This window comes from Homo sapiens, chromosome 11 (assembly GCF_000001405.40).
Source record: "Homo sapiens chromosome 11, GRCh38.p14 Primary Assembly".
NCBI classification, from domain to species: domain Eukaryota; kingdom Metazoa; phylum Chordata; class Mammalia; order Primates; family Hominidae; genus Homo; species Homo sapiens.
Window position 1 is genome coordinate 70,266,490 of NC_000011.10, and position 23,498 is coordinate 70,289,987.

At 46.4% G+C, this 23,498-nt stretch overlaps 1 protein-coding gene, 1 non-coding gene and 1 pseudogene across 33 annotated transcripts in view, besides 2 other annotated features; 2 read left to right on the forward strand and 1 right to left on the reverse strand.

The window, feature by feature from the left end:
* Window positions 3,786-4,335: a silencer, noted in NCBI's record as "silent region_3700". NCBI's record gives its function as "represses an Ori minimal core promoter by ATAC-STARR-seq in GM12878 lymphoblastoid cells {active_cell/tissue: GM12878}" and the evidence as "EXISTENCE:reporter gene assay evidence [ECO:0000049][PMID:35858748]".
* The window catches only part of PPFIA1 (PPFI scaffold protein A1), a 113,707-nt gene continuing 94,409 nt past the window's right edge, over window positions 4,201-23,498 (forward strand). For 30 of the 32 annotated variants that reach the window (NR_045286.3, XM_006718716.4, XM_011545309.3 and 27 more), the window contains exons 1-2: window positions 4,201-4,425; window positions 5,684-5,947. Coding sequence is in view for 31 of the 32 variants with exons in the window: in XM_006718716.4 (XP_006718779.1) it covers window positions 5,684-5,947 (264 nt within the window). In the remaining variant the exon portion in view is untranslated. Of the gene's footprint in view, window positions 4,426-4,689; window positions 4,831-5,683; window positions 5,948-23,498 lie in introns of those variants that run through there. The other 2 variants (XM_047427764.1, XM_011545306.4) reach the window with 2 other exon arrangements.
* Window positions 4,376-4,805: a silencer, noted in NCBI's record as "silent region_3701". NCBI's record gives its function as "represses an Ori minimal core promoter by ATAC-STARR-seq in GM12878 lymphoblastoid cells {active_cell/tissue: GM12878}" and the evidence as "EXISTENCE:reporter gene assay evidence [ECO:0000049][PMID:35858748]".
* On the reverse strand, window positions 12,126-12,914 carry H2AZP4 (H2A.Z histone pseudogene 4; annotated as a pseudogene).
* MIR548K (microRNA 548k) lies at window positions 17,466-17,581 on the forward strand. The gene has a single exon (NR_031624.1). It is a non-coding gene; the product is annotated as a microRNA 548k (primary transcript).

Below are 23,498 nucleotides of genomic sequence, written 5' to 3' on the forward strand. Positions count from 1 at the left end.
TAAAAATGTATCACCTTAACATTCTAGAGTTATTCATCTACAAGGTAAATTTTACATAATACATTCTTAATCTAAACACAGACTGTTTTCTTTTTCAAATTGGGGTTCACACTCTGTATACTTGTTTGAATTTGCTTTTTTAAAAAAGTTTTTGTTTATGTATAAAAATTAAGGCATACTCTACATATTAATGTACAGTTATTTGACAAACGTATATAGTAATGTAACTACCACCACAATCATGATATATGTAGTTATCTAAAATATGACTGTGGGCCAGGTGCGGTGGCTCACACCTGTAATCCTAGCACTTTGGGAGGCTGAGGTGGATGGATCACCTGAGGTCAGGAGTTCGAAACCAGCCTGTCCAACATGGTGAAACCCAGTCTCTACTAAAAATACAAAAATTAGCCAGGTGTGCCTGTAATCCCAGCTACCCAGGAAGCTGAGGCAGGAGAATCTCTGGAACCCCAGGAGGCGGAGGCTGCAGTGAGCCGAGATCACCCCACTGCACTCCAGCCTGGGCGACGGGGCAAGATTCAGTCTCAAAAAAAATGACTGTGAATGTCACCAAGTTTTCTGTCATTTGGAAGTGCAATAATTTAACCAATCTTGTTTTCTTGGCCATTTAGGTTGTTTACGATTTCCCCCTTACTGATTTTGCGATCTGGGGGAATGAAATAATAAATGAATTAAAATGAATGAGGGCCATGAGTGGTGGCTCATGCCTGTAATTCCAGCACTTTGGGAGGGTGAGGTGGGAGGATTGCTTGGGCTCAGGAGTTTGAGACCATCCTGGGCAACATGGTGAAACCTCTTTTCTACCAAAAATACAAAAAAGTTAGCCAGGCATGGTGGTCTGCGCTGGTAGTCCCAGCTACTTGTTGGGGAGCTGAGGTGAGATGACTGATGGGCCTGGGAGGTAGAGGCTGCAGTAAACTGTGTTCGAACCACTATATCCCAGCCTAGGTGACTACATGAGACCCTGTCTCAAAAAAAAAAAAAAAAAGAGAGAGAAAAAGAACAAAGGAAGGGTAAGGGGAGGGGAGGGAGGGAGAGAGAGAGAGGAAGGAAGGAAGGAAGGAAGGAAGGAAGGGAGGAAGGAAGGAAGGAAGGAAGGAAGGAAGCAAGGAAGGAAGGAAAAAGAAAGAAAAGAAAGAAATAAAATGAAATTCAGAATTCTCATTTTCCTGGAGCTATACCAACTGGGTGTCTCCCTTCTCCGCTGGAAAAATCCCACATCATTCAAGACCCAGCTCAGATATTGCCTCCTCTATGAAGCCCCCATGATGCCAGCTGGAGAGCGGGTTCCTCCCTTCCCTGTGATTCCACAGCACCAAGTCACACACTGTTTACGGGACAGACATTGCAATAGTCTGTTTTTCTTCTCTTTCTCCAGACTGTGAACTCATACTAGAAGTGATGTCTTAGCTCTGCGTTCCCAAGACCTAAGCCATGCTTGGCTCATACATGCTGCACAAATATTCATGAAATGAATGAACATTCTACCCTGCCGAACTAAATTTTGATCTTGAGCCGATTTTTCTTTTTTTTTTTTTTTTTGAGATGGAGTCTCGCTTTGTTGCCCAGGCTGGAGTGCAGTGGCGCGATCTCGGCTCGCTGCAAGCTCCGTCTCCCGGGTTCACGCCATTCTCCTGCCTCAGCCTCCCGAGTAGCTGGGACTACAGGCGCCTGCCACCACGCCCGGCTAATTTTTTGTATTTTTAGTAGAGACAGGGTTTCACTGTGTTAGCCAGGATGGTCTCGATCTCCTGAACTCGTGATCCGCCTACCTCGGCCTCCCAGAGTGCTGGGATTACAGGCGTGAGCCACTGCGCCCGGCCTTGAGCCGATTTCTTAGAAAACAGACACTTTATGAGCATGGTGCAAACATAAGCTGGCTGCATTAAGCAGGTACCCCTAAGGAGAGCTGGAAATTTGCTGGTTTCAGACAGTGGTTCAGGGGAACTTGGGAGTTGTGCAGAATTGCTGGGGTGTGGAGAGGTACAGGGTACTTGCAGAACACCTCATCTAAGCGATCAACTTTACAATTTTATTATTTTTGAGACAGAGTCTCGCTTTGGCACCCAGGCTGGAATGCAGTGGCACAATCACAGCTCACTGCAGCCTCGACCTCTCAGGCTCAAGCGATCCTCCCACCTCAATCCCCCAAGTACCTGGGACTACAGGTGTGGCCCACCTTGCTGGACTAATTTTTAATTTTTTGTATAGACATGGGTCTCGATATATTGCCCAGGCTCAAGCAATCCTCCCACGTTGGCCCCCCAGCGTGCTGGGATTACAGACGTGAGCCACTGCACCTGGCCAATGTTTTTTTTTTTTTTTTTTTTCTGAGACAGAGCCTCGCTTTGTCTCCCAGCCTGGAGCGCAGTGGCATGATCTCCTCATTGCAACCTCCACCTCCCAGGTTCAAGCTATTCTTCCACCTCAGCCTCCTGAGTAGCTGGGATTACAGATGCCCGCCACCACACCCGGCTAATTTTTGTATTTTTAGTAGGGATAGGGTTTCACCATGTTGGCCAGGCTGGTTTTGAACTCCTGACCTCAAGTGATCTGCCCACCTGGGTCTCCCAAAGTGCTGGGATTACAGGCTTGAGCCACCGCACCCGGCCTCACCTGGCCATTTTTACACTTTTAAAATAGCAAGAAACTAGGGGCAAAAAGTACATATTCATATCTATGTGTAGTCAGTCAATAAATATTTATTGAATGAACGAATAAATTAATGGAAGGTGTTCCAGATCCTGGTAGGCGAGAGTCAGTCGGAGGGAGTGCTTGTTCTTGGTGCACTCACAATGGAGAATCAAGGAATTCACCTTGGACGGGCTCATTTCTCCCTCTCCTAGGCCCCGTGCAGCCTCTTCTCAGACTTACTAGTTCTGAGGGGCTCCTGGCTGCCTCACACCAACAGCAGTGGCCAGTGGACACTGGCGATGGTGTCCTGACATTTTGGTTTGTGAAGAGTTTGTGCTCCGAGTCAAATCCTGGGAGGAGTGGGGAGGGCATCCGCTTTAATTAATTAGAGGTGTCTCTATTCATCTCCGTATCTGCAACATCTAGCACAAGACTTGGCCCATAGTAGATGTTTAAAAATTCTTGCTGAGGCCGGGCGCAGTGGCTCACGCCTGTAATCCCAACACTTTGGGAGGCTGAGGCGGGCAGACCACCTGAGGTCAGGAGTTCGAGACCAGCTCGACCAACATGTAGAAATCCCGTCTCTACTAAAAATACAAAATTATCTGGACTTGGTGGCGTGCGCCTGTAATCCCAGCTACACGGGAGGTTGAGGCAGGAGAATCACTTGAACCCGGGAGGCAGAGGTTGCAGTGAGCCGAGATGGCGCCATTGCACTCCAGCCTGGGTGACAAGAGTGAAACAACGTCTGGAAAAAAAAAAAAACTTGCGGAAAAGATGAAATGACCAAGACTCGCGCAGTGCTGCCCGTCAGGCTCTCAACTAGTCGCTCTTCACATCTGATTCATGTCTTAAAGCAGCCTCGCAGGTAGGTCTGCATCATTTTCCCATCCTACATCGGAGGCGCTGAAGCCCAGGCGGGTTTCCCGAGTCGCCCGGGCCCACGCTGCAGAGTGAAAGCCACAGCGGCAAAGCCTGCACTCTGGACGCTGCGCCGGGACGTCCCCAGGTGCGGCAGGCAGCGCTCCGTAAGTGGGTCCTGGCGGGAACTCCGTCCTTCTGAACCCAGATCAGGCCCAGGGAGACCGTAGGGGCGCCGCGGCGGGCGGGGTCTGGGTCCTCGGTGGTGACTGAAGCCTCGGTTCGCTCTTCTGCAAGGTGCGAATCCAGAGCCTCCAGCTCGGGAGGGACCTGACGTGCCGGACGCGTCCAGCTCAGAACTCGAGGCGCGGTAGACACTCAGCAAAGGCCTCCGGCGTCCCTGCAGCCGTGGGGGGAAACTGGGGACGCCCGGAGGAAGACGCTGACCCGGCGAGCACCTGAGCGCCCACCTGTGGCTCATCCCGGAGACCGCCCCCTCCCCCGCGACCCGGGCGGGGCCTGGGGGGCGTGGCTCCCGTCTCGCTCAGCCAATCAGTGCCCCGGGGCCGCCTCCCGCCCCCTCCTGAGGAGACAGCGCTTGCGTACTCGGGCCAAGGTGCTCCTCGGGCCCCGCCCCCGGGGCGGTGCTGACGCTCGCGCCGACGCGCTCGACGTCGGGCACGTAGACGCCGGCGCCGCGCAGCCGGGCCCGCTCCTCCTCCGCTCCGCCAGTGTCCGGCCGCGGGCCGGCCTTAGTGACTGGGGCGGCGGGCCCCGGGGCCGCGGCGTGGGGCGGGCAGGCGGACGCCGGCCGCGGGCTGCTTTCGTCGGCTCCCAAGCTCTCCCGGAGCGAGCAGCCGCCCGCGAGCCGCCGCGGAGCCTCCTCGCCCGCTCCCGCCGGCGAGCAAGGTAAGGGAGCGGGACACTGAGGCAGGCTCGGGGCCCAGGCGTCACCGGCGCGTCCCGGTCTCCGCGGCGGCCACGCAGCCGATTAGATGTCTCCGCGGGGAAGGGTGCGCTCCGGGACGGGTGGGGGCGAGGCCGCGGCGCCGGGTCGCGCTGGGAGAGCTCCGGCGGGACACCCGCGCCCCAAGGGACGGCTCCGGGGACTGCGCGCTGCCCCTCCCCGAGCCCCGCGCCCCGTGACCCGGGCGCTGGGGCGAGGGGCGGGGACCTGTGGCCGCTGAAAGCCCTGGCCCGAGCGGGCTCCGTTGTCAACGGTCCTCACCCCCCGGGGTTCGGGGCTTCCGCCGCACCTGATACAGGAGGGGAGGAGTGCGGCTCGAGCAGGCTGGAGGTCACCATCCCCATCAGGTGCGCCGTCTGGGGCATCCCCCTCTCAGGGGTCCACCGCGCCCCCAGTACTGCCCGAAAGGCTCAGAAGCGACTTCCCCTTTCCCTGGCGCTGTCTTTATATCCCAGACACTTAATAGACTCTCGTAATCTCACCTTTCACTTTTCCCTCTTTCCTAGCCGCCCCCGGCTGTATCGACCTGCTATATTTCCATTGTGGATTTTTTTTTTCGGTTGTAAACTTACGTAAGTTAGGTTGACCAACCGTTGCAGCCATTGGAAAACACTTCTACCAGCGTTTAACGAATCCGGTTCCTTTTAGTGCTCACCAAATCCAGCCCAAGAATTCAGGGAGCCGTCAGTTCTTCCCGGGAGCTGACTGCACACATTCCTGCAAGATGCCTGATGGATTTTGTACTTGTCAGTTTTGCTGGTTGTATGCTCCTTCTGTGCTTTTCCTGAAAAATGATTGGGTGACATGTGTTTTGACTTTCTCCCCCCCTACCCCCCCACCCTCCCCACCCCACTGGGAAGTAAAAAAAATAGGTAACAGAAGCACACTTGTTTTCAGCAAAAACAAGTACAGCTTTGCAAACAGACTACCCCAGGGCTTGCCCTTTTTTGTGAGGGTAGTCCTTTGGGATCTTGACCCCTTCCCTGGATTTTTGTCTGTGTTAATGTCTTCATGTTGTGTATTTTTGCACTTAATATTTGCCCTGTGTATGTTTTCCCAGCTTATTTACACACAAAGCATAACAGATCTGAGCATAATGAGACTGCCCATCTTTTTAGCTACAGATACCTGTAAAGTTGCATATTTGTGGGAACCTGTATTCTGAGCTTAATTACTGTAGCCTGGGTCTTTCATTTCAAGATGATGTGCGAGGTGATGCCGACCATCAGCGAAGCAGAAGGCCCCCCTGGAGGAGGTGGAGGCCATGGTTCCGGCTCCCCTTCACAGCCAGATGCAGATTCACATTTTGAACAGTTGATGGTCTCCATGCTAGAAGAAAGGGACCGCCTTCTTGATACACTGAGAGAGACTCAAGAAACGCTGGCCTTAACCCAGGGGAAGTTACACGAGGTTGGTCATGAAAGAGATTCCTTGCAGAGACAGCTCAACACGGCACTTCCACAGGTATGAGTGCTTTTAACCTGAAACTATAGATTTTTCTCCACTAAATGTTTTTTTATTAGTGTCATCTTTTGTTAATGTTTCAGATGAGTATTTTCCGTAACGATTTGTGAAATGATAGTTTCTGGTGTTTGTAAGTCAAATACAAAGTTCCTAGGGATTAAACTTCTTAGGGAGAACAAATCGTTGTACTCTAAAGTCATGTGAAAATACCTCATTATTTTCATTCCTATCTTTGGGAACTGCCTAGGTTCAGGAAGTTCTCCAGAGTTTTTGAAAAAGGGCTCTGAAGCAACCAATCTATTTGGTGCCTCCATTCTGTTGTCTTAAGCCTTTTCTGGCTAAACTTGTACTTCCCATGGATTATCTCATGTATTTCTAATTTCCTAATGTAATTTAATAGACAAATAGGATTGATTTCACGGAAAAAAAAAATTATTTTGATAGCCCACCTTTATCAGAACATCTAGGTTTTGTAAGTCACATTTGTTTTAGGGGATAGAAGACTCGAGATTGATTCCTTAGGAACTTTTTCCTTGGCAGATGAGAATTTTAAAGCTTAGGCCGGGTGTGGTGGCTCATGCCTGTAATCCCAGCACTCTGGGAGGCTGAGGCAGGCGGATCACCTGAGGTCAGGAGTTTGAGACCAGCCTGGCCAACATGGCAAAACCCTGTCTCTACCAAAAATACAAAAATTAGCAGAGCGTGGTAGCGCGCATCTGTAGTCCCAGCTACTCAGAGGCTGAGGCATGAGAATCACTTGAACCCGGGAGGTGGAGGTTGCAGTGAGCCAAGATTGCACCACTGCTCTCCAGCCTGTCTCAAAAAAAAAAAAGATTTTTAAAGCTTAGAACAACTGAAATTGTTTCTCTGAGTATGTTACATTTGGACCAGTGTTTGAAAGACTTTGCTCATGGAGTTGAATGAGGATTTACTTAATGGTAGGTAAAGGGAGAAAGTAAAAACTAGAAGAGTGTAAGGTGAGTGGCACGGGGCATAGTGGGAGAGAAGTGGGTTATTTATGTGTTTCAGAGCTGTCTAGGCGCCACGTTACTCATCATAAGTGCCTTTGGGGTGCATTCAGGTAGACCCGCATAAGCACACATTTATACTCGCATGATGGGTCTGCAGTGATAAATTAGTAAATGAATAAGTACTAGCCTTAATGTGTTTCTTGGCTGTAGTCAGTTCTCCTGAAAGATTGATAAGCCAAACGTGGGTTTCCTTTTTAGCAACAATAATTTGACGTTAGCGCTCTATGTTCCTTTTTTGTTGGATTAAAGAATCATTAAGATTTTTCTTATTTCAATCTTATAAATTACCAAGTTTATTTATGTTGAATTTTATTACTACAATTTTAAAAGAAGTAGCCAATTTATGTTTTACCAGGATTTTATTGTATTTGTAATTTAAGGTACACGTATTGAAGTGTATATCAAATACTAATATACTTAATAAGGTAGGTTTTGGAAAGAATGGGCACACAAGACATGTCAGGGAAGTGACAGGAGTTTTGTACAGTTAGTCGCAGGCTGTGGAGGTTGTCACACACACTGGTGACATGGTTGCTCAGTGATTTGTTTCTGGCACTGCTCAGTGTAGCAGCCTGGGAATGCCTAGTTCAGTGGATAACATGATGATGCCAACGGTTCACGTTACCACCTGAGCACCTGATTCCAGCCTTTCAAAAATGGAAACTATTAAGTAAACTTGTTTTGGACCCTTCCCTTTCCTGGCATCTGGTTCATCTTTGGTGGCTGGTAGTGTGACCAGATAATGAGTCCAGGAAGTGCATTTGTGCTCCTGGCACATTGTGGAGGCAAGTTAGAGTGTACTTAAAAATATACATAACTATAGCATACAGCAGAAAAATTCACAAATCGTAAGTATACATCTCAGTGGACTTTTCACAAAGTTAACACACTTGCATACCACCACCCAGATCAAGAAATGGAACATTATCAGGCTTCCTAGAAGTCCCCTCCTAACTATTCCCAGTAGTTGTCCCCCAGAGCTAACCAAGGTCTTGACCTTTCACCATTGATTACTTTTGCCTGTTCTTGACTTTGTTTAAGTGAAGTAAAATAATCTGTATGTTTTGCTTCTTCATTCTGTCGTCAGCATCATGTTTGTGAGATGCAGCTTGCTCATTCTCACCTGCTCTCTGGTCATCCCGTGCACGAACAGACAGAACTTATTCTTTCTACTGCTCACAGACATTTGGGGTTGTTTCCAGTTTTTACACGTGCTCCCCTAATATTGTTTGTTTTTTGGTGCAGATGTCTATAAACTTTTTTTTTTTTGAGATAGGGTCTCACTCTGTTGCCCAGGCTGGAGTGCAGTGGCATGATCTCGGCTCACTGTAGCCTCCACCTCCCAGGTTGAAGCGATTCTCCTGCCTCAGCCTCCCAAGTAGCTGGGAATACAGGCACGCATCACCACCCTCCGCTAATTTTTGTATTTTTTGTAGAGGTGGGGTTTTACCATGTTGCCCAGGCCGGAGGATATGTGTACACTTCTGTTGGATTTCTACAAAGAAGTGGAATGCAAATGATGGTGTGTGCATTTGTTCAGCCTCAGTAGAGAGTGCCAAAAGTGGTGGTTGTGACAGTTTGTACTACCCCAGCAATGTATGAGAAGTCAGTTGCTCCTATGCTCTTCAGCACTTGGTATTGTTGGGTCTTTACATTTTAGCTGTTCTGGTGGCTGTTAGCTGGTAGGTGGCTCAGTATGGTCTGAATTTGCTGCTCCCTGATGGCCAGGAACATGCAGAGGTAAAGCATCTCTACCTGTGTTCACTGGCCACCTGGATGTCTTTTGTGAAACGGTTATCTTTTGCCCATCTGTTGATTGGGTTGTCTGTTTTGTTTTTTACTGATTTGAAGGAGTTTTCTCTATATTCTGAGTACATATGTGCATGACAGATTGTTTTTAGACTCTTGTGTTTGCCTTTTCACTCTCTCAGTTGTATCTTTTGATACATAGAAGTGTAAAATTTTTAATGTAGCCCAGTTGATCCATCTTTTCAGTAATGTTTAATGCTCTTTGTGTCCTGTTTAAGAAATTTGCTTGGTCAAGTTCATGAGATATTCTACATTGTCTTCTAAAAACTATTTTTTAATCTTCCATCTGAAATTGACTTTGTTTATGGTATGCGATGGGGCCAAGAGTCTCTCTTTCTTTTTTTAAATGGATATCTAGTTGACCTTGCATAATTTCTTAAAAGACTATTCTTTCCCCAGTGTACTACATGCAGTGTCATCTCAGTCCAGTGACTGTAAGTGTGTGGGTCTGTTTCTGGACTCTCTTCTGCTCCTTTGATCTTTTTGTCATCTTTGCACAAATAGCACAATGTCTAAATTCCCATAGATATAGTCTGTCTTGAGATCTGGTAATTTAAGAAAAGGGTACTCACTCGGTTGCCCAGACTAGTCTCCAACTCCTGGTGTCAAGCGATCCTCTCACCTTGGTCTCCCAAAGTGCTGGGATTACCACTGTGAGCCACCACACCTGGCCCTGTAGATATTCTTTATCAAAATGTAAAAATTCTCCTCTTCTTAGTTTGCCAAGAGTTTTTTAAAAACCATGAGCAGGTATTAAATTTCTTAACATGGATTTTCTGCATCTTTTGAGACAGTCATGTGATTTTTCTGTTATGTGGGAATTTAACTGTTTTTGTTTGTTTATTTTTGAGATGGGGTCTTGCTCCATTACCCAGCCCGGAGTGCAGTGGCACCATCATAGCTCGCTGTAGCCTTGAACTCCTGGGCTAAAGTGATCTTCCCACCTCAGCCTCTCAAGTAGTTGGAATTATAGACGCACGCCACTGCGCCTTGCTTTTTTTTTTTTTTTTAATTGCATATTGTTTGTAGCCTGGGGAAGCAACTTCAGGAGCTCCTGAGAAAGAGCACCTCCCTTTTAAAAAAAATTTACAATTGTAGAATAATTCCAACCTGATCTTGATGTATTCTCCTTTTACTGGATTATATTTGGTAGTATTTTGTTTAGGATTATTGCATTTATATTCACGAGAAAGATTGACTTATAATTTCAGTTTCCTTCAGTACCCTTGTTGGGATTTGGTATCAAGGTTATGCTGGTTTCTTAAAACAAGGTGGAATGTATTCCTTCTTTTTCTACTCCCTAGAAGAGTTCCTACGAAATTTGTGTTTTCTTCCTTAAATGTTTGAAATAATTCTTTGGCAAAACCAGCTGGTACAGGGTTTTCCTTGTGAGAAGGAAAAATTTTAGAATTAATTTTATAGGTAGATGTAGGATTTTGAATATTTCTTCATGTGTCTATTTAGATAAAGCATTTTTCCCCGCTAGAGATTTGTTCAGGCCACCCAGACTTTCCAATTTGTAAGTTTAAAGTGGTTTGTAATCCTTATTATCTGCAAGATCTGTAGTGATGTTCCCTTTTAATAATTCTTGATATCAGTAATTCATATATTATCTCTTAATCAGTCTTGTTGGGGGTTTGTCAATTTTGTAAGTTCTTTTAAGGGACCAACTTTCGGCTTTACATTTTTTTCTACTTACATTTGTTTTCTATTGCATTAATTTCTACTTTTTTTTTTTTGCTTTTTTTTTGTTTGATTGAGATATATATATATATATATATATATTTTTTTTTTTCCAGGCACAGTCTCATTGTGTCTCCCAGGGTCAAGTCCTTAGATACTTGAACTGGATTTAACTCCCTCCTACCTTTTGTGTCATTGTTTTATATATTTCAGTTTAATTTATATTTATTTTTAAAAATAGAGACAGCGTCTTGCTGTATTGCCCCAGCTGGTCTTCAACTCCTGGCCTCAGGTGATCCTCCCCCCTTAGCCTCCCAAAACAATGGGATCCAGGCGTGAGCCACTACACGCTTTTAGCTGCATCTTACAAGTTTATGTACTTTAATTTTAGATATACTTTTGCAGTATCATAATTATTTTGTACAGTTAATGTTTATTTAGATTTATCCTCTTAGTTACCATTTTTGTTGCTCTTCATTCTTTATTGTTGTTTCATGTTTCTGCCGGGGATTATATTTCTTGTTTTTTTTTTTTCTTTTTTTCTTTTTTGAGACAGAGTCTCGCTCTGTTGCCCAGGCTGAAGTGCAGTGGCACGATCTTGGCGCACTGCAACCTCCATCTCCCATGTTTGAGCGATTTTCTTGCCTCAGCCTTCTGAGTAGCTGGGACTATAGGCATATGCCACCACATCCGGCTAATTGTTGTATTTTTAGTAGAGACTGGGTTTCACCATGTTGGCCAGGCTGGTCTCAAGCTCCTGACCTCAAGTGATCTGCCTGCTTCAGCCTCCAAAGTGCTGGGATTACAGATGTGAGCCACTGCGCCCAGCCTATATTTCTTTTCCCTGAAGAACTTTCTACGGTATTTCTTTGAGTTCATATCTGTGGATAATGAATTGTCATTTTTGTTTGCCTGAAAATTTTCTATTTTGCCTTTAGTTTTTGTTTTGTTTTGTTTTGTTTTGTTTTTTAAGATGGAGTCTCGCTCTGTCGCCGGTCTGGAGTGCAGTGATGTGATCTTGGCTCACTGCAACCACCGCCTCCCGGGTTCAAGCAATTCTCCTGCCTCAGCCGCCCGAGTAGCTGGAACTACAAGCACGTGCCACCACGCCCAGCTAATTTTTGTATTTTTAGTAGAGAAGGTGTTTCACCATGTTGGCCAGGATGGTCTCTATCTGTTGACCTGGTGATCTGCCCTCGTCAGCCTCCCAAAGTGCTGGGATTACAGGCGTGAGCCACCATGCCTGGCCTTTTTTTTTTTAAATGTGATGTTTCACCATGTTTGCCAGGCTGGGGTCAAACTCATTGGCTCAAGCAGCTGCCTGCCTCAGCCTCCCAAACTGCTGGGATTACAGGTGTGAGCCACTGTGCCCAATTTGCCTTCAGTTTTGAAGGATGATTTTGCTGGGTATAGAATACTGGGATCGTGGTCATTTCCTTGCACCATTTTGTAGCAGCGAATTCATTGTTTTTTTAGCTCGCTTCCTTTTTCTTGACAAGTCAGCTTTTGGTGTTATTGTTGTCCCATTTGAAGTAATACTTCTTTTTATTTTCCCCTCTGGTTGCTTTTTATTTTTATTTTTTGGAGAGGATATGACTTTTACTGAGTTTATCCACCAGAGTGGAAATAATGTTTGTGCAAAACCAAATGTTTGTTACTATAACTCTCCATCACAATTAAAATCCAAACAGTTTTTTGAAAACAGTCAACTCAATCAAAACCCACTACTTCAGAATCAATAGCTTCTTTGAAGCCACAGTAACAAATATGGTTAAGACTTGAATGTAGAAATTTGTTGGTTGGAAAGCTAATTAAACTTCCAACTTGCTCAAGTAGAATTACAGAAAGGCAGAATTGTGTTTTTCACAGAGATATAGTTCACTGGAATCAGCCACACTGGACAGCTGGTAGAGTGTTTAGGGTCCTGAGATAATAAGGAATCCAGGCAGCCTTTAGACAGTCTGCTGTTGTCCTTTCTTCCCAATTAGAGATTTGTGGATGTGTGGAATGACACCTTTACCAGCAATTGTAGACTTGAAGAGAGAGCCCAATTCTTTATCTCCACGAATGGCAAGTTGCAAGTAATGAGGGGTAGTATGCTTTACTGTGAAGTCTTTTGACGCATTTCTTGCCAGTTCAAGTACCTCTGCGGTGAGGTACTCCAGGATGGCTGTGCTATTCACAGCGGCAGTCGCGCCCACACGTCCAGGACTGATTGTCCTAGATTTCAGGTGTCAGTGAATACGGCCCACCAGGAACTGCAAATTGGCTCTCTTGTGAGTGGGAAGCTGCCTTTGTTGGCCTTTCTGGAGTCCTTCCCAGCCTTACTGCCAGCCATTTTCAATTCTGCTGAAGCTCAAACAGGCAAGGCAGAGAAAGGACTAATCAGACACACAGCAAGATCTCACCATCTACTCATTCCTCACACCAGGATTTGAAGCTGCCTCTGGTGGCTTGTAACATTTTCTTTGCTTCAGGCATTAGCAAAACTTGGTATTTGTTGTATTGGTGGCCTGGTTCCTAATCAATTTTGGAAGTTTTGGCTCTTCTCTCTATAAATATTCCTATTTTCCACTCATCTTCACTCAGAGGGCCTCCATTTTTGTGTACATTAGGCATTTTTTTTTTTTTTGAGATGGAGTTTCGCTATTGTTGCCCAAGTTGGAGTGCAATGGTGTGATATACATTAGGCTTTTATCATGTCCTATGTGTCTCTTGTGCTCCTTTCCGTATTTTCTAGACCTTTTCTGTGTATGTGTCTAGGTGTGTGTGTGTGTGTGTGTGTGTGTGTGTGTGTGTGTGTATTTAGTTTTTAGAGACTGGGTCTCTCTGTTGCCCAGGGTGGTCTTGAACTCTTGGGCTCAAGCAGTCTTCCTGCCTTGGCCTCCTAAACTGTTGGGACTACAGGCGTGAGCCACCGTGTCCGGCCTGTGTGTGTGTGGGGGATGTGTGTGTGTGTATATTTTTGGGACAGGGTCTCGCTCTGTTGCCCAGGCTGTAGTGTAGTGGTGCAGTCTCAGCTCACTGCAGCATCTGCCTTCTGGGCTCAAGCGATCCTCCCACCTCAGCTCCTGAGTAGCAGGGACTACAGGTGCGTGCCACCACACCTGGCTAATTTCTGTATTTTCAGTGGAGGTGGGGTTTTGCCATGTTGCACAGACTGGTCTCAAACTCCTGGACTTAAGTGATCCACTTGCCTCAGTCTCCGAAAGTGTTGGGATTACAGGCATGAGCTAGCATGTGTGTATATATGTGTGTATATATATATACGTACATACATATATATATATAAATATATATGTATATAAAAATTTTTAAGAGACAGGTGGCTGGGTGCAGTGGCTCACGCCTGTAATCCCAGCACTTTGGGAGGCCAAGGTGGGTGAATCACTTGAAGTCAGGAGTTCGAGACCAGCCTGGCCAACATGGTGAAACCCTGTCTCTACTAAAAATACAAAAAATAGCCGGGCATGGTGGCACATGCCTGTAATCCCAGCTACTTGGGAGGCTGAGGCAGGAGACTCACTTGAACCTGGGAGACGGAGGTTGCAGTGAGCCAAGATCACGCCATTGCACTCCAGCCTGGGTGGCAAGAGCGAAACTCCGTCTCGGGGAAAAAGAAAAAGACAGGCACCCTGTTGTTGCCGAGGCTGCAGTGCAGTGGCGCGCGTGATCACTGTTCACTGCAGCCTCAAACTCCAGGGCTCAAGCAATCCTTCTGCCTCAGCCTTCTGAGTAGCTGGGACTATAGGTATGTGCCACTGTGCCCAGCTAATTTTTAAATTTTTTGTAGAGGCAGGGTCTTGCTATTTTGCCCAAGCTGTTCTTAAACTCCTGACCTCAAGTGAGCCTCCTACCTTGACATGTCAAAGCACTGGGATTACAGGTGTGAGCTATTGTGCCCAAAATCTAAAGTCCAGATTTTTTTTACTGACCCATCTTCCACCTCACTCATCCCCTCTTCATTTGTGTCCAATCTGCTGTTTAGCCCATAGATTGAGTTCTTAATTTCAGTTATAATTTTCAGTTCTAGAGTCTGCTTAATTCCTTTTACTATTCTAGTTCTCTAGTGAAATTTTTTCCTTTTGTCAAGTATATTTTTGAATAGTTGACATTTGCATCTGATAACTCTATTATATGGGTCACCTCCGGATCCATTTCTGTTTTTCTTTTTTCTCTAGGTTCATTTGTTGATAACGCCCATTTTTGTTTTTTTAATTGAGTCAGACATTATGTATGAAAAACTGTAGAAAGCGCTGGGTGATGCTGTCTTCCTTCAGAAAGTTTCCCTCTGTCATCTGGCACATGCCCAGAGTAGGGACAGATCATCTCAGCTCAGTCAGGGCCTGGGTGACCAGAGGCTGGGATTCAGTCAGTAAGCGTCAGTTGAAGCTGCCTTCCCCCAACCTCCTGCTCCTGGTGTAACCATCCGGGGGTTCCATCTGAAACCCTGGAGTGTTTCCCAGGGCCCCTCTTTCTTGGCGTGTCCTGGAGCCCAAGTTTTGTCTCCTTAACGCCATGAGACTACTGAAAGCCCAGCTTCTCGGCCAGGTTTGCAGAGTGTTGGGCTCATTTCCTGTGTCTCCCTTTTCTCTGGGATCTTGGCCCCTTAAGTCCTGGCTGACTGTCAGGCCTGTACTTCTTTTTGTCTCCCCAGACCCTTGGGGCTTTCTAGAGCTCTGTAGCCTCTACTTTCTGCTGAGTTTTCTTCCCAGTTATCAGTGTACTGCCCCCAAATCCTTCCAAATTGTCAAATGCACTGACAGAAAGAGTGGGGGCTCTGAATAGTGGACTCACCTCAGTGGGCCTCTCTTTGGTTTGGAATGTTGGTCCCTTCATTTGTGGCTGCCTTGGCATCTCTTTGATGCCTGCAGACTTTCAAGTCATACTCACCTTTTCTAGTTTTTGGTGGGTTGCCGGGCTACAGGCCACCCCGCGTATCACTGAAACTGGAGCTGAAGCGGGCGTGCTCTCTCTGTCTGCAGCATATGCGGAGTCTGGAGACATTGGTTATCATTACTTGATAGGGAGCATACAGAACCCACTCACCTCGCTTAGGCTACCTTGTCCAGTTTCTTTTTTTTTTTTCCAGTCTGCTTCTCATGACATTGTCCAGTTTCTAATCAGAATCCCCCATTTGCCCCTGCCCAGTCACTTAACCACTTAAAGACAGTAGAGCAAGTGGCCTGCCCAGCGGGAGACACAGCCCTTGGCCTCCAATTCCCGTCTTGGCCACTGTGTGGGCTGTTCCACCCTGCTGTAGTCTCTACTCTTCCCCATGCCCTGTGTCAGACCGAGGGAGGGTTTGTGATGACATATCTGGCAGTGGCAAAGAAGGAGGCTAGGGAGGTAGGAGAGGTTGTGTGCGTGGTGTTTAGTCTTACTTTGGAGATGGGGTCTTGCTGTGTTGCCTAGGCTGATCTCCAACTCCAGGGCTCAAGCCATCCTTCTGCCTTGGCTTCCTGAGTAGCTACCACTACAGGCATGAACCAGTGTGCCCAGCTACCTAATGTTTATTCTATGACTTGATCCCATGTATGTTTCCTTTTTGAGTGCTGATTTTTTTTTTTTTTTTTTTTTTTTTTTTGAGATGGAGTCTTGCTCTGTCACCCAGGCTGGAGTGCAGTGGCGTGATCTCGGCTCACTGCAAGCTCCACCCCCTGGGTTCACACCATTCTTCTGCCTCAGCCTCCCCAGTAGCTGGGACTACAGGTGCCCGCCACTACATCCAGCTAGTTTTTGTTTTGTATTTTTAGTAGAGACAGGGTTTCACCATGTTAGCCAGAATGGTCGCGATCTCCTGACCTCATGATCCACTGCATGCCTTGGCCTCCCAAAGTGCTGGGATTACAGGCGTGAGCCACCGTGCCTGGCTTTTTTTTTTTTTTTTTTTTTTTAAGAAGGAATTTTGCTCTTGTCGCCCAGGCTGGAGTGCAATGGTGCGATCTCAGCTCACTGCAACCTCCATGTCCCAGGTTCAAGCGATTCTCTTGCCTCAGCCTCCTGAGTAGCTGGGACCATAGGCGTGCATCACCATGCCCGGCTGATTTTTGTATTTTTAGTAGAGACGGGGTTTCACCATGTTGGTCAGGCTAGTCTTGAACTTCTGACCTCAGGTGATCTGCCCGCCTCAGCCTCCCACAGTGCTGGGATTACAGGCATGAGCCATCATGCCTGACCGACTGACCGAGTGCTTTTTTTTTTTTTTAAAGCAAATATTGCCTTTGGGCTTCTCTCTAATTTCATTTTAAAGTTTCAGTTGCATTTTCAAATGGAGATTTTATTTTAAACTGGAGTGCAGTGATTTTTACAGTCTTTTTGAAAGCAACAAATGAGATTTTTAGAAGACCTCTTGCTTGAAGAACTCTTTTGTGTGAAACCTAGAAGAGAGACTGTTCACCTTTCATTGCAGGTGAGGTCCCAAATTTTGCCAGTCTCTCTCCCAATCTGCCAATCCCTGAAGCAGGGGGTACAAAACTCAGAAGATTCTAAGGAATGAGGTCTTCAAATCAAATCCAAACTTAGTGAAAAAGAAGTCTACCTGTGTCAGGGGTGTTCCCTGTCAAAGTGATGGGTGAGCTTCAGCTGGTTGCAGTGGAAGGTGTGCTGGATGGATTGAGGAGGCGAGAGGGTGCAAGACAGCCCATTTAGGAGGCAGTTCCTGCAATGTGGGCATGAAGTGTTACAGCCCAAACTAGGATGCTAGAATCCGAGGGCAGAGGGCAGTAGAAAAGAACAACCTGGCGGAATTGTGTAGGACTAGAGGATGACAGCCGAGTGGCAGATACCAGGGTCAAGCTTGCGGGGAGAAGGGGGACGGGGGTGGGGGAGAGTAAAGAGGAGACGCTGGTGTTTGGTGGTGTTGAGAGGTATTTGTGGTTGTCACAGCTAGGGCAGGGATGCTCCTAAACATTCTGCAGTGGAGCCCCCTCAACAAAGAATTATCTGGCCCCAAATGTTGGAAGTGTCCAGGTTTAGGTATAAAGAATCAGAAGCTTTTCTCAAGTATTGCTGTTAGGTTGGTGCAAAAGTACTTGCGGATTTTGCTTTACTTTTAATGGCAAAAACCGCAATTATTTTTGCTTCAACCTAATATGATGCAAAATTGGCTACAACTGTAATTTGTTGAGTGCTGCAAACAAGGTACTTGCTAAGCTTAACTTTAGTGAACAAATTAGGAAGAATTGGAATAAGGTAAAACTAGCTAAATGACTCTTCCCTGAGAATAAATACTAATGACTGCCCCTTCAGATGGTGCCCCCTCATCTGCTTTACTGACTGTTTCTTAGTAGTAGTTGGCAAAACACCTCTTAAAATACCATACTTGTTTTCATCGTCTTTGGTGTATGAAATAGTTGAATATATCCTTTCAGAATAATATTTGGCCATTTACATCTCTCTTTTGCACACACTGAATTTGCCATCTTGTCTTCCTGTTCCTACACCTTTAATTGTCAGCAAGGAGACAGAGTCCTTCCTCCTATTTTGTTGAGCCCTGTGTGAATATTACCGTTCTAGGCTCCTGCAGTCAGTGGTAGAGACAGGGTCTCTGCCTGCAGAAGACTTTCACAATATACCCATGCTCAAAGCAGGTGCAGGTTGCGAGACACATCCAGATAGAATGAAGTGGTTCAGAAGAAATCCATGATCTCGACTGAGTGGGGTGGGCTGCCAGGCACACTGTGGTCCAGAAAGGTGAGGCTTTCGAGGGGATTGGCTTAGAGCTGAGGGATGAAGGCTAAGAGGAACCAGGTATGAGAGCTTTCTTGGCGGTGGGGCTACTTGAGCAAAGGCCAGAGCAAGGGAGAGCTTAGCATTTAGCTGAGTCAAAGCTGGGGTCTGTGGCCATGGTTACTTGGCCTGGAGGGAAGGGAAGAGTGAACATGGTAAGGTTGGCTAGGTAGGTTGGGATGGGATCAGACAGAGGTGAAGACTTGCTTGTTTTTGTTTTAAGTACCTTAGGGCTTCAGTACTTTGCGTGCATCGTGGCCTCAGGGGAGGGAATGATGTGATTTAGCTGCGTTGTTATTTATTTATTTTTATTTATTTATGTATTTCTTTATTTAAGATGGAGTCTTACACTGTTGCCCAAGCTGTAGTGCACTGGCATGATCTCGGCTCACTGCAACCTCTGCCTCACAGGTTCAAGCGATTCTCCTGCCTCAGCCTCCCAAGTAGCTGGGATTACAGGCGCCCGCCACCGTGCCCGGCTAATCTTTAGTAGAGACGGGAGTTTCACCACGTTGCCCAGGCTGGTCTTGAACTCCTGACCTCAGGTGATCCTCCCTCCTTGGCCTCCCAAGTTTTTAAAAGATCATGCTATGTGGATAATGAGCTGGGGATGGAGGGAAGAATGGACCTAGGGTGGAAACCACTGGTTAGAGTAGAGCCACTTCAAGTGCATGGGTTTGGGCTATAAAGTTAGTGCTGTGAGCAAAAATTAAAAACTCTTGCCGGGTGCGGTGGCTCATGCCTGTAATGGGAGGCCGAGATGGGCAGATCACGAGGTCAGGAGTTCGAGACCAGCCTGGCCAACATGGTGAAACCCTGTCTCTACTAAAAATACAAAAATTAGCTGGGCGTGGTGGTGCGCAGCTGTAATCCCAGCTACTCGGGAGTCTGAGGCAGGAGAATCGCTTGAACCTGGGAGGTGGAGGTTGCAATGAGCTGTGATCGCACCACTGCACTCCAGCCTGGGGGACAGAGTGAGACTCTGTCTCAAAAAAAAAAAAAAAACCTCTTAACATCACCCATCACATAAGGCACAGAACAATGTGTACTTTTTAATTATCATATACATAAATGCATACTGTTTTCATGCAGTATACATAATGTTTATGTATATAGTGTATACATGAATGTATTCAGGTATTTTGAGTGTCTGTATGTGGCATGCACCGTTCTAGGTGCTGAATATTCCATAGGTAAAAAGGGTTATTTAGCCCACATTTTTTTCGTTGTATGAAGAGAAATGGAAAAAACCAAACTTACATAGTTCGGTTTGAGCAAGTTAAATGCATGGATGATGTAATGTGGGAGCACTTTCCACTTTTCGTTGATGTTTGTGTAGGCAGAACTAGGGAGGTGGTTTTCCTTGGGAGTTTCAGCTGCCCACTGTACTCCTCCACTCTTGGCCACTGTGCCTCGCAGGTGCCTTACCTGACTGCCATGCTGTGTACTTTCATTTGGGCAGGCTTTGGGCTCCTTAAATTCAATATTGGCTCAAACCATCTTTCCCCCGCATCCGTACCCCATCCTGTGAACGGTAGTTTTCTACGTAGTCAGGTGGCTATGTCTCTTCTTTTCTTTTGAGATGGAGTCTCGTCCTGTTGCCCAGGCTGGAGTACAAGGGCACAATCTCAGCTCGCTGCAATCTCTGCCTCCCGGGTTCAAGCGATTCTCCTCCCTCAGCGTCCCAAGTAGCTGGGACTACAGGCACATGCCACCGCGCCCTGCTAATTTTTGTATTTTTGTAGAGACGGGGTTTCACCATGTTGGCCAGGCTGGTCTTGAACTCCTGACCTCTGATGATCTGCCCTTCTTGGCCTCCCAAAGTGCTGGGATTACAGGCGTGAGCCACTGCTCCCGGCCCTATCTCTTTTCTGCGCTAACCTTATCCTTCTAGTCTCCAGGACCTGTGGGATGGACCTTTCCATCTCTTGGAGGTTACCCCTGAGGCCCACTGACTCTCAGACCCGAACCCTTTGTCTTCACCGGGTTGACTCCCATGGCCCCTGTTCTGGAGCCTCTCTGCAGTATCTTATCCCTTTTTGCAGCAAGATCTTTCTTTCTTTCTTTTTTTTTTTTTTTTTTTTTGAGACAGGGTCTCACTTTATCACCCAGGTGGAGTGCAGTGGTGTGATCGGGCTCAAGCAATGCTCCTACCTCAGCCTTCTAAGAAGCTGGGACTACAGGTGTGCGCCACTATGGTTGGCTAATGTTTTTTCTGTGTGTGTATACACACATATATATACACATATATATACACATATACTATATATATACATATACACATATATGCACATACACACACACACACACACACACATACATATATGTAATTATTATTATTTTGTAGAGCAGGGGTCTTGCTATGTTGTCTAGGCTGGTCTCGAACTCTTGAGCTCAAGTGATTCGCCCACCTCAGCCTCCCAGAGTGCTGGGATTACAGGCGTGAGCCACCACGCCGGGCCAAGATCTTTCTAAAATGCATGTACAGCTGCCTTTCCTTTGCTCAGAACACTTGAGCTCTCCATTCCTCCTCGGGCTGAAGACTCCTGTGTCATCACATCCTGGCCCAGCGCCTCCCTGCTCTCCCAGTTGTGGATAGTTCCTCACTTGCAGACTCCTTTTTTTTGTACAACTTTGTAAATAAGCCGTTGTCTGAGATTAGGCCTTTCTTATCTTCTACTTGCCAACTTCATTCTAGCTACAACCAAGTAATTTGGTGCAGCTCTTTCAGCGATCCGGTTTTGCCCTGTGTATACTGATTCTCAAAAATGCCCATATTCTGATGCAGTGGTTTGACTTCAGCTAAGTTTTTTTTTTTTTAGTAGATACAGGAGTCTTTATGTTACCCAGGCTGGTCTCCAATCCTGGTCTCAAGTAATCCTCCTGCCTCAGCCTCCCAAAGTGTTGAGATTACAGGCATCAGCCACTACACCCGGCCTTTTTTTTTTGTTTTTTAAAAAATTTGTTTTTAGAGATGGGGTTTCACTCTGTTTCCTAGGCTGGAGCGCAGTGACACAATCACAGCTCACCGTATTCTCAGCCTCCCTAGCTCAGGCAGTCCTCCCACTTCAGCCTGTTGAGCAGCTGGGACCACGTGCATGTACCGCCACACCTGGCTAATTTTTTGTTTTATTTTTGTAAAGATGAGGTCTCCCTATGTGCCCCAGGCTGGTCTTGAACTCCTGGGCTCAAGTGATCCTCCTACTTGGCCTCCCAGAGTGCTGGGATTACATAATGATGTTGGCCCTAACAACTTGTATGGTTAGATTTTTAAATTCAGGCGTTTATAAGAGTTAAAGTCTAAGTGTGTATAGGTCCCACTGCGCTGGGGCTCAACATCTCTCACTTGCTCTCCAGCCATGCCTCATCTCACCTCTGCTTTTTTTTTTTTTTTTCTTTTTTGAGACGGAGTCTTGCTCTGTCGCCCAGGCTGGAGTGCAGTGGCACAATCTGGCTCACTGCAACCTCTGCCTCCTGGGTTCAAGCAGTTCTCTGCCTCAGCCTCCCAAGTAGCTAGGCTTACAGGTGCCGCCACCATGCCCGGCTAATTTTTGCATTTTTAGTAGAGATGGGGTTTCACCATCTTGGCCAGTCTGGTCTTGAACTCCTGGTGTTGTGATCTGCCCGCCTTGGCCTCCCAAAGTGCTGGGATTACAGGCATCAGCCACCGCGCCCGGCCTCCCCTCTGCTTTTTGTATCCCTTCGAGGCTCACAATTCCCAGAGCTCTCCTTCTTGGTGATAGAAAGTGGGGCCACTGCCTGAGGTGTGATTGCAGACCTCTCCTTTGACTCTTTCTCTGCAATTACTTGTTCCTGGGAGACCGTCAACCTCATGGTTTTAGTGTCCATGGTGTTCCCTGCTCAAATCACTTCTTCCTGGAAGTTGCAAAGAGGTGATTTTTCCAGCTGTCCGTCCGTGTACAGTGATGAACAGATATTCCTGTGTGAAGAAGAGTGTTCTCCTTTGTTCACTTTCCAGCTCTCTCAGTCACTGAGGACACTGCATATTAGAGTCAGGCGTCGTCATTACTCCTTGGATGCTCATATTGTCCCTTTCAGATTGGCTCCTGTGTCTTTTTGCCAAGACCCCATTAGTTCTTGAGTGCTTCATTGCTTTCTGGCACAGAAATTTGTCCCAGGCCTACTTTGTACTTTTCCTGCCTCAGATCTGAAATCATTCCTCTCAGGAGCCCTGGTTCCCTTTAGTGGGAAGTGGCATTTAGAAATCAGCATTTGGGGCTGGGTGTGGCCACTGTCACGGGGGTAGCATCTGGTTGTTTTTTTTTTTTTTTTTGGGGACGGAGTCTTGCTCTGTCGCCCAGGCTGGGGTGCAATGGCGCCATCTCAGCTCACTGCAAGCTCCGCCTCCCGGGTTCAAGCAATTCTCCTGCCTCACTCTCCCAAGTAGCTGGGATTACAGGCCCACACCACCATGCTTGGCTAATTTTTTTTTGTATTTTTAGTATTGATGGGGTTTCACCATGTTGGCCAGACTGGTTTTGAACTCCTGACCTCAGAACTCCACCTGTCTTGGCCTCCCAAAGTGCTGGGATTGCAGGCATGAGCCCCTGTGCCTGGCTGAAGGTAGCATCTTTTATGTCCTTTCATTGGACAGAGCTAGAAAAAAATGTTCATTAAAAAACCTCCAATTTCATACTGATTCTTTAAAATAAAAGTTTTTTCCCCTTATTTTATATTTACACAGCTTAAACTGATGATTTTGATTTCTAATAATATTAACATTGTTTTCCTTATCTATGATATTCATAAAATGGGTTCAGCATTTTAATACATTGTTCTTACAAACAACCCTTCGAATGAAGTTTAGGATTCCTTAGCAATTCTTTTGGCTTTAGAAATAAATACATCTTAAGAATATATAGTTAGAGTAATGGGTTTAAAACAATTTGTTGTAACATAACCAAAGTAATTACCAATTTGATAAACAGGTTCATTTGTTCCTATTTATTCTTAATTCAGAGTTTGCATTTTATAAACTTTTTAAGTAGCTGGGACTACAGGCATGCGCCACCACGCCCCAGCTTTTTAAGTGTTGGCATTACAGGCGTGGCTCACTGTGCCCAGCCAAGTTTATTCTTTTTCAAACCAGGTGTGGTGGCACACACCTGCAGTCCAAGCTACTTGAGAGGCTGAGGTGGGAGGATCGCTTGAGACCAGGAGTTGGAGGCCAGCCTGGTTAACATAGCAAGACCCTGTCTCTCAAAAACACATTTTTTTAAAAAGTTTATTATTTTTCAGCCAGGTGCAGTGGCTCACACTTGTAATCCCACACTTCG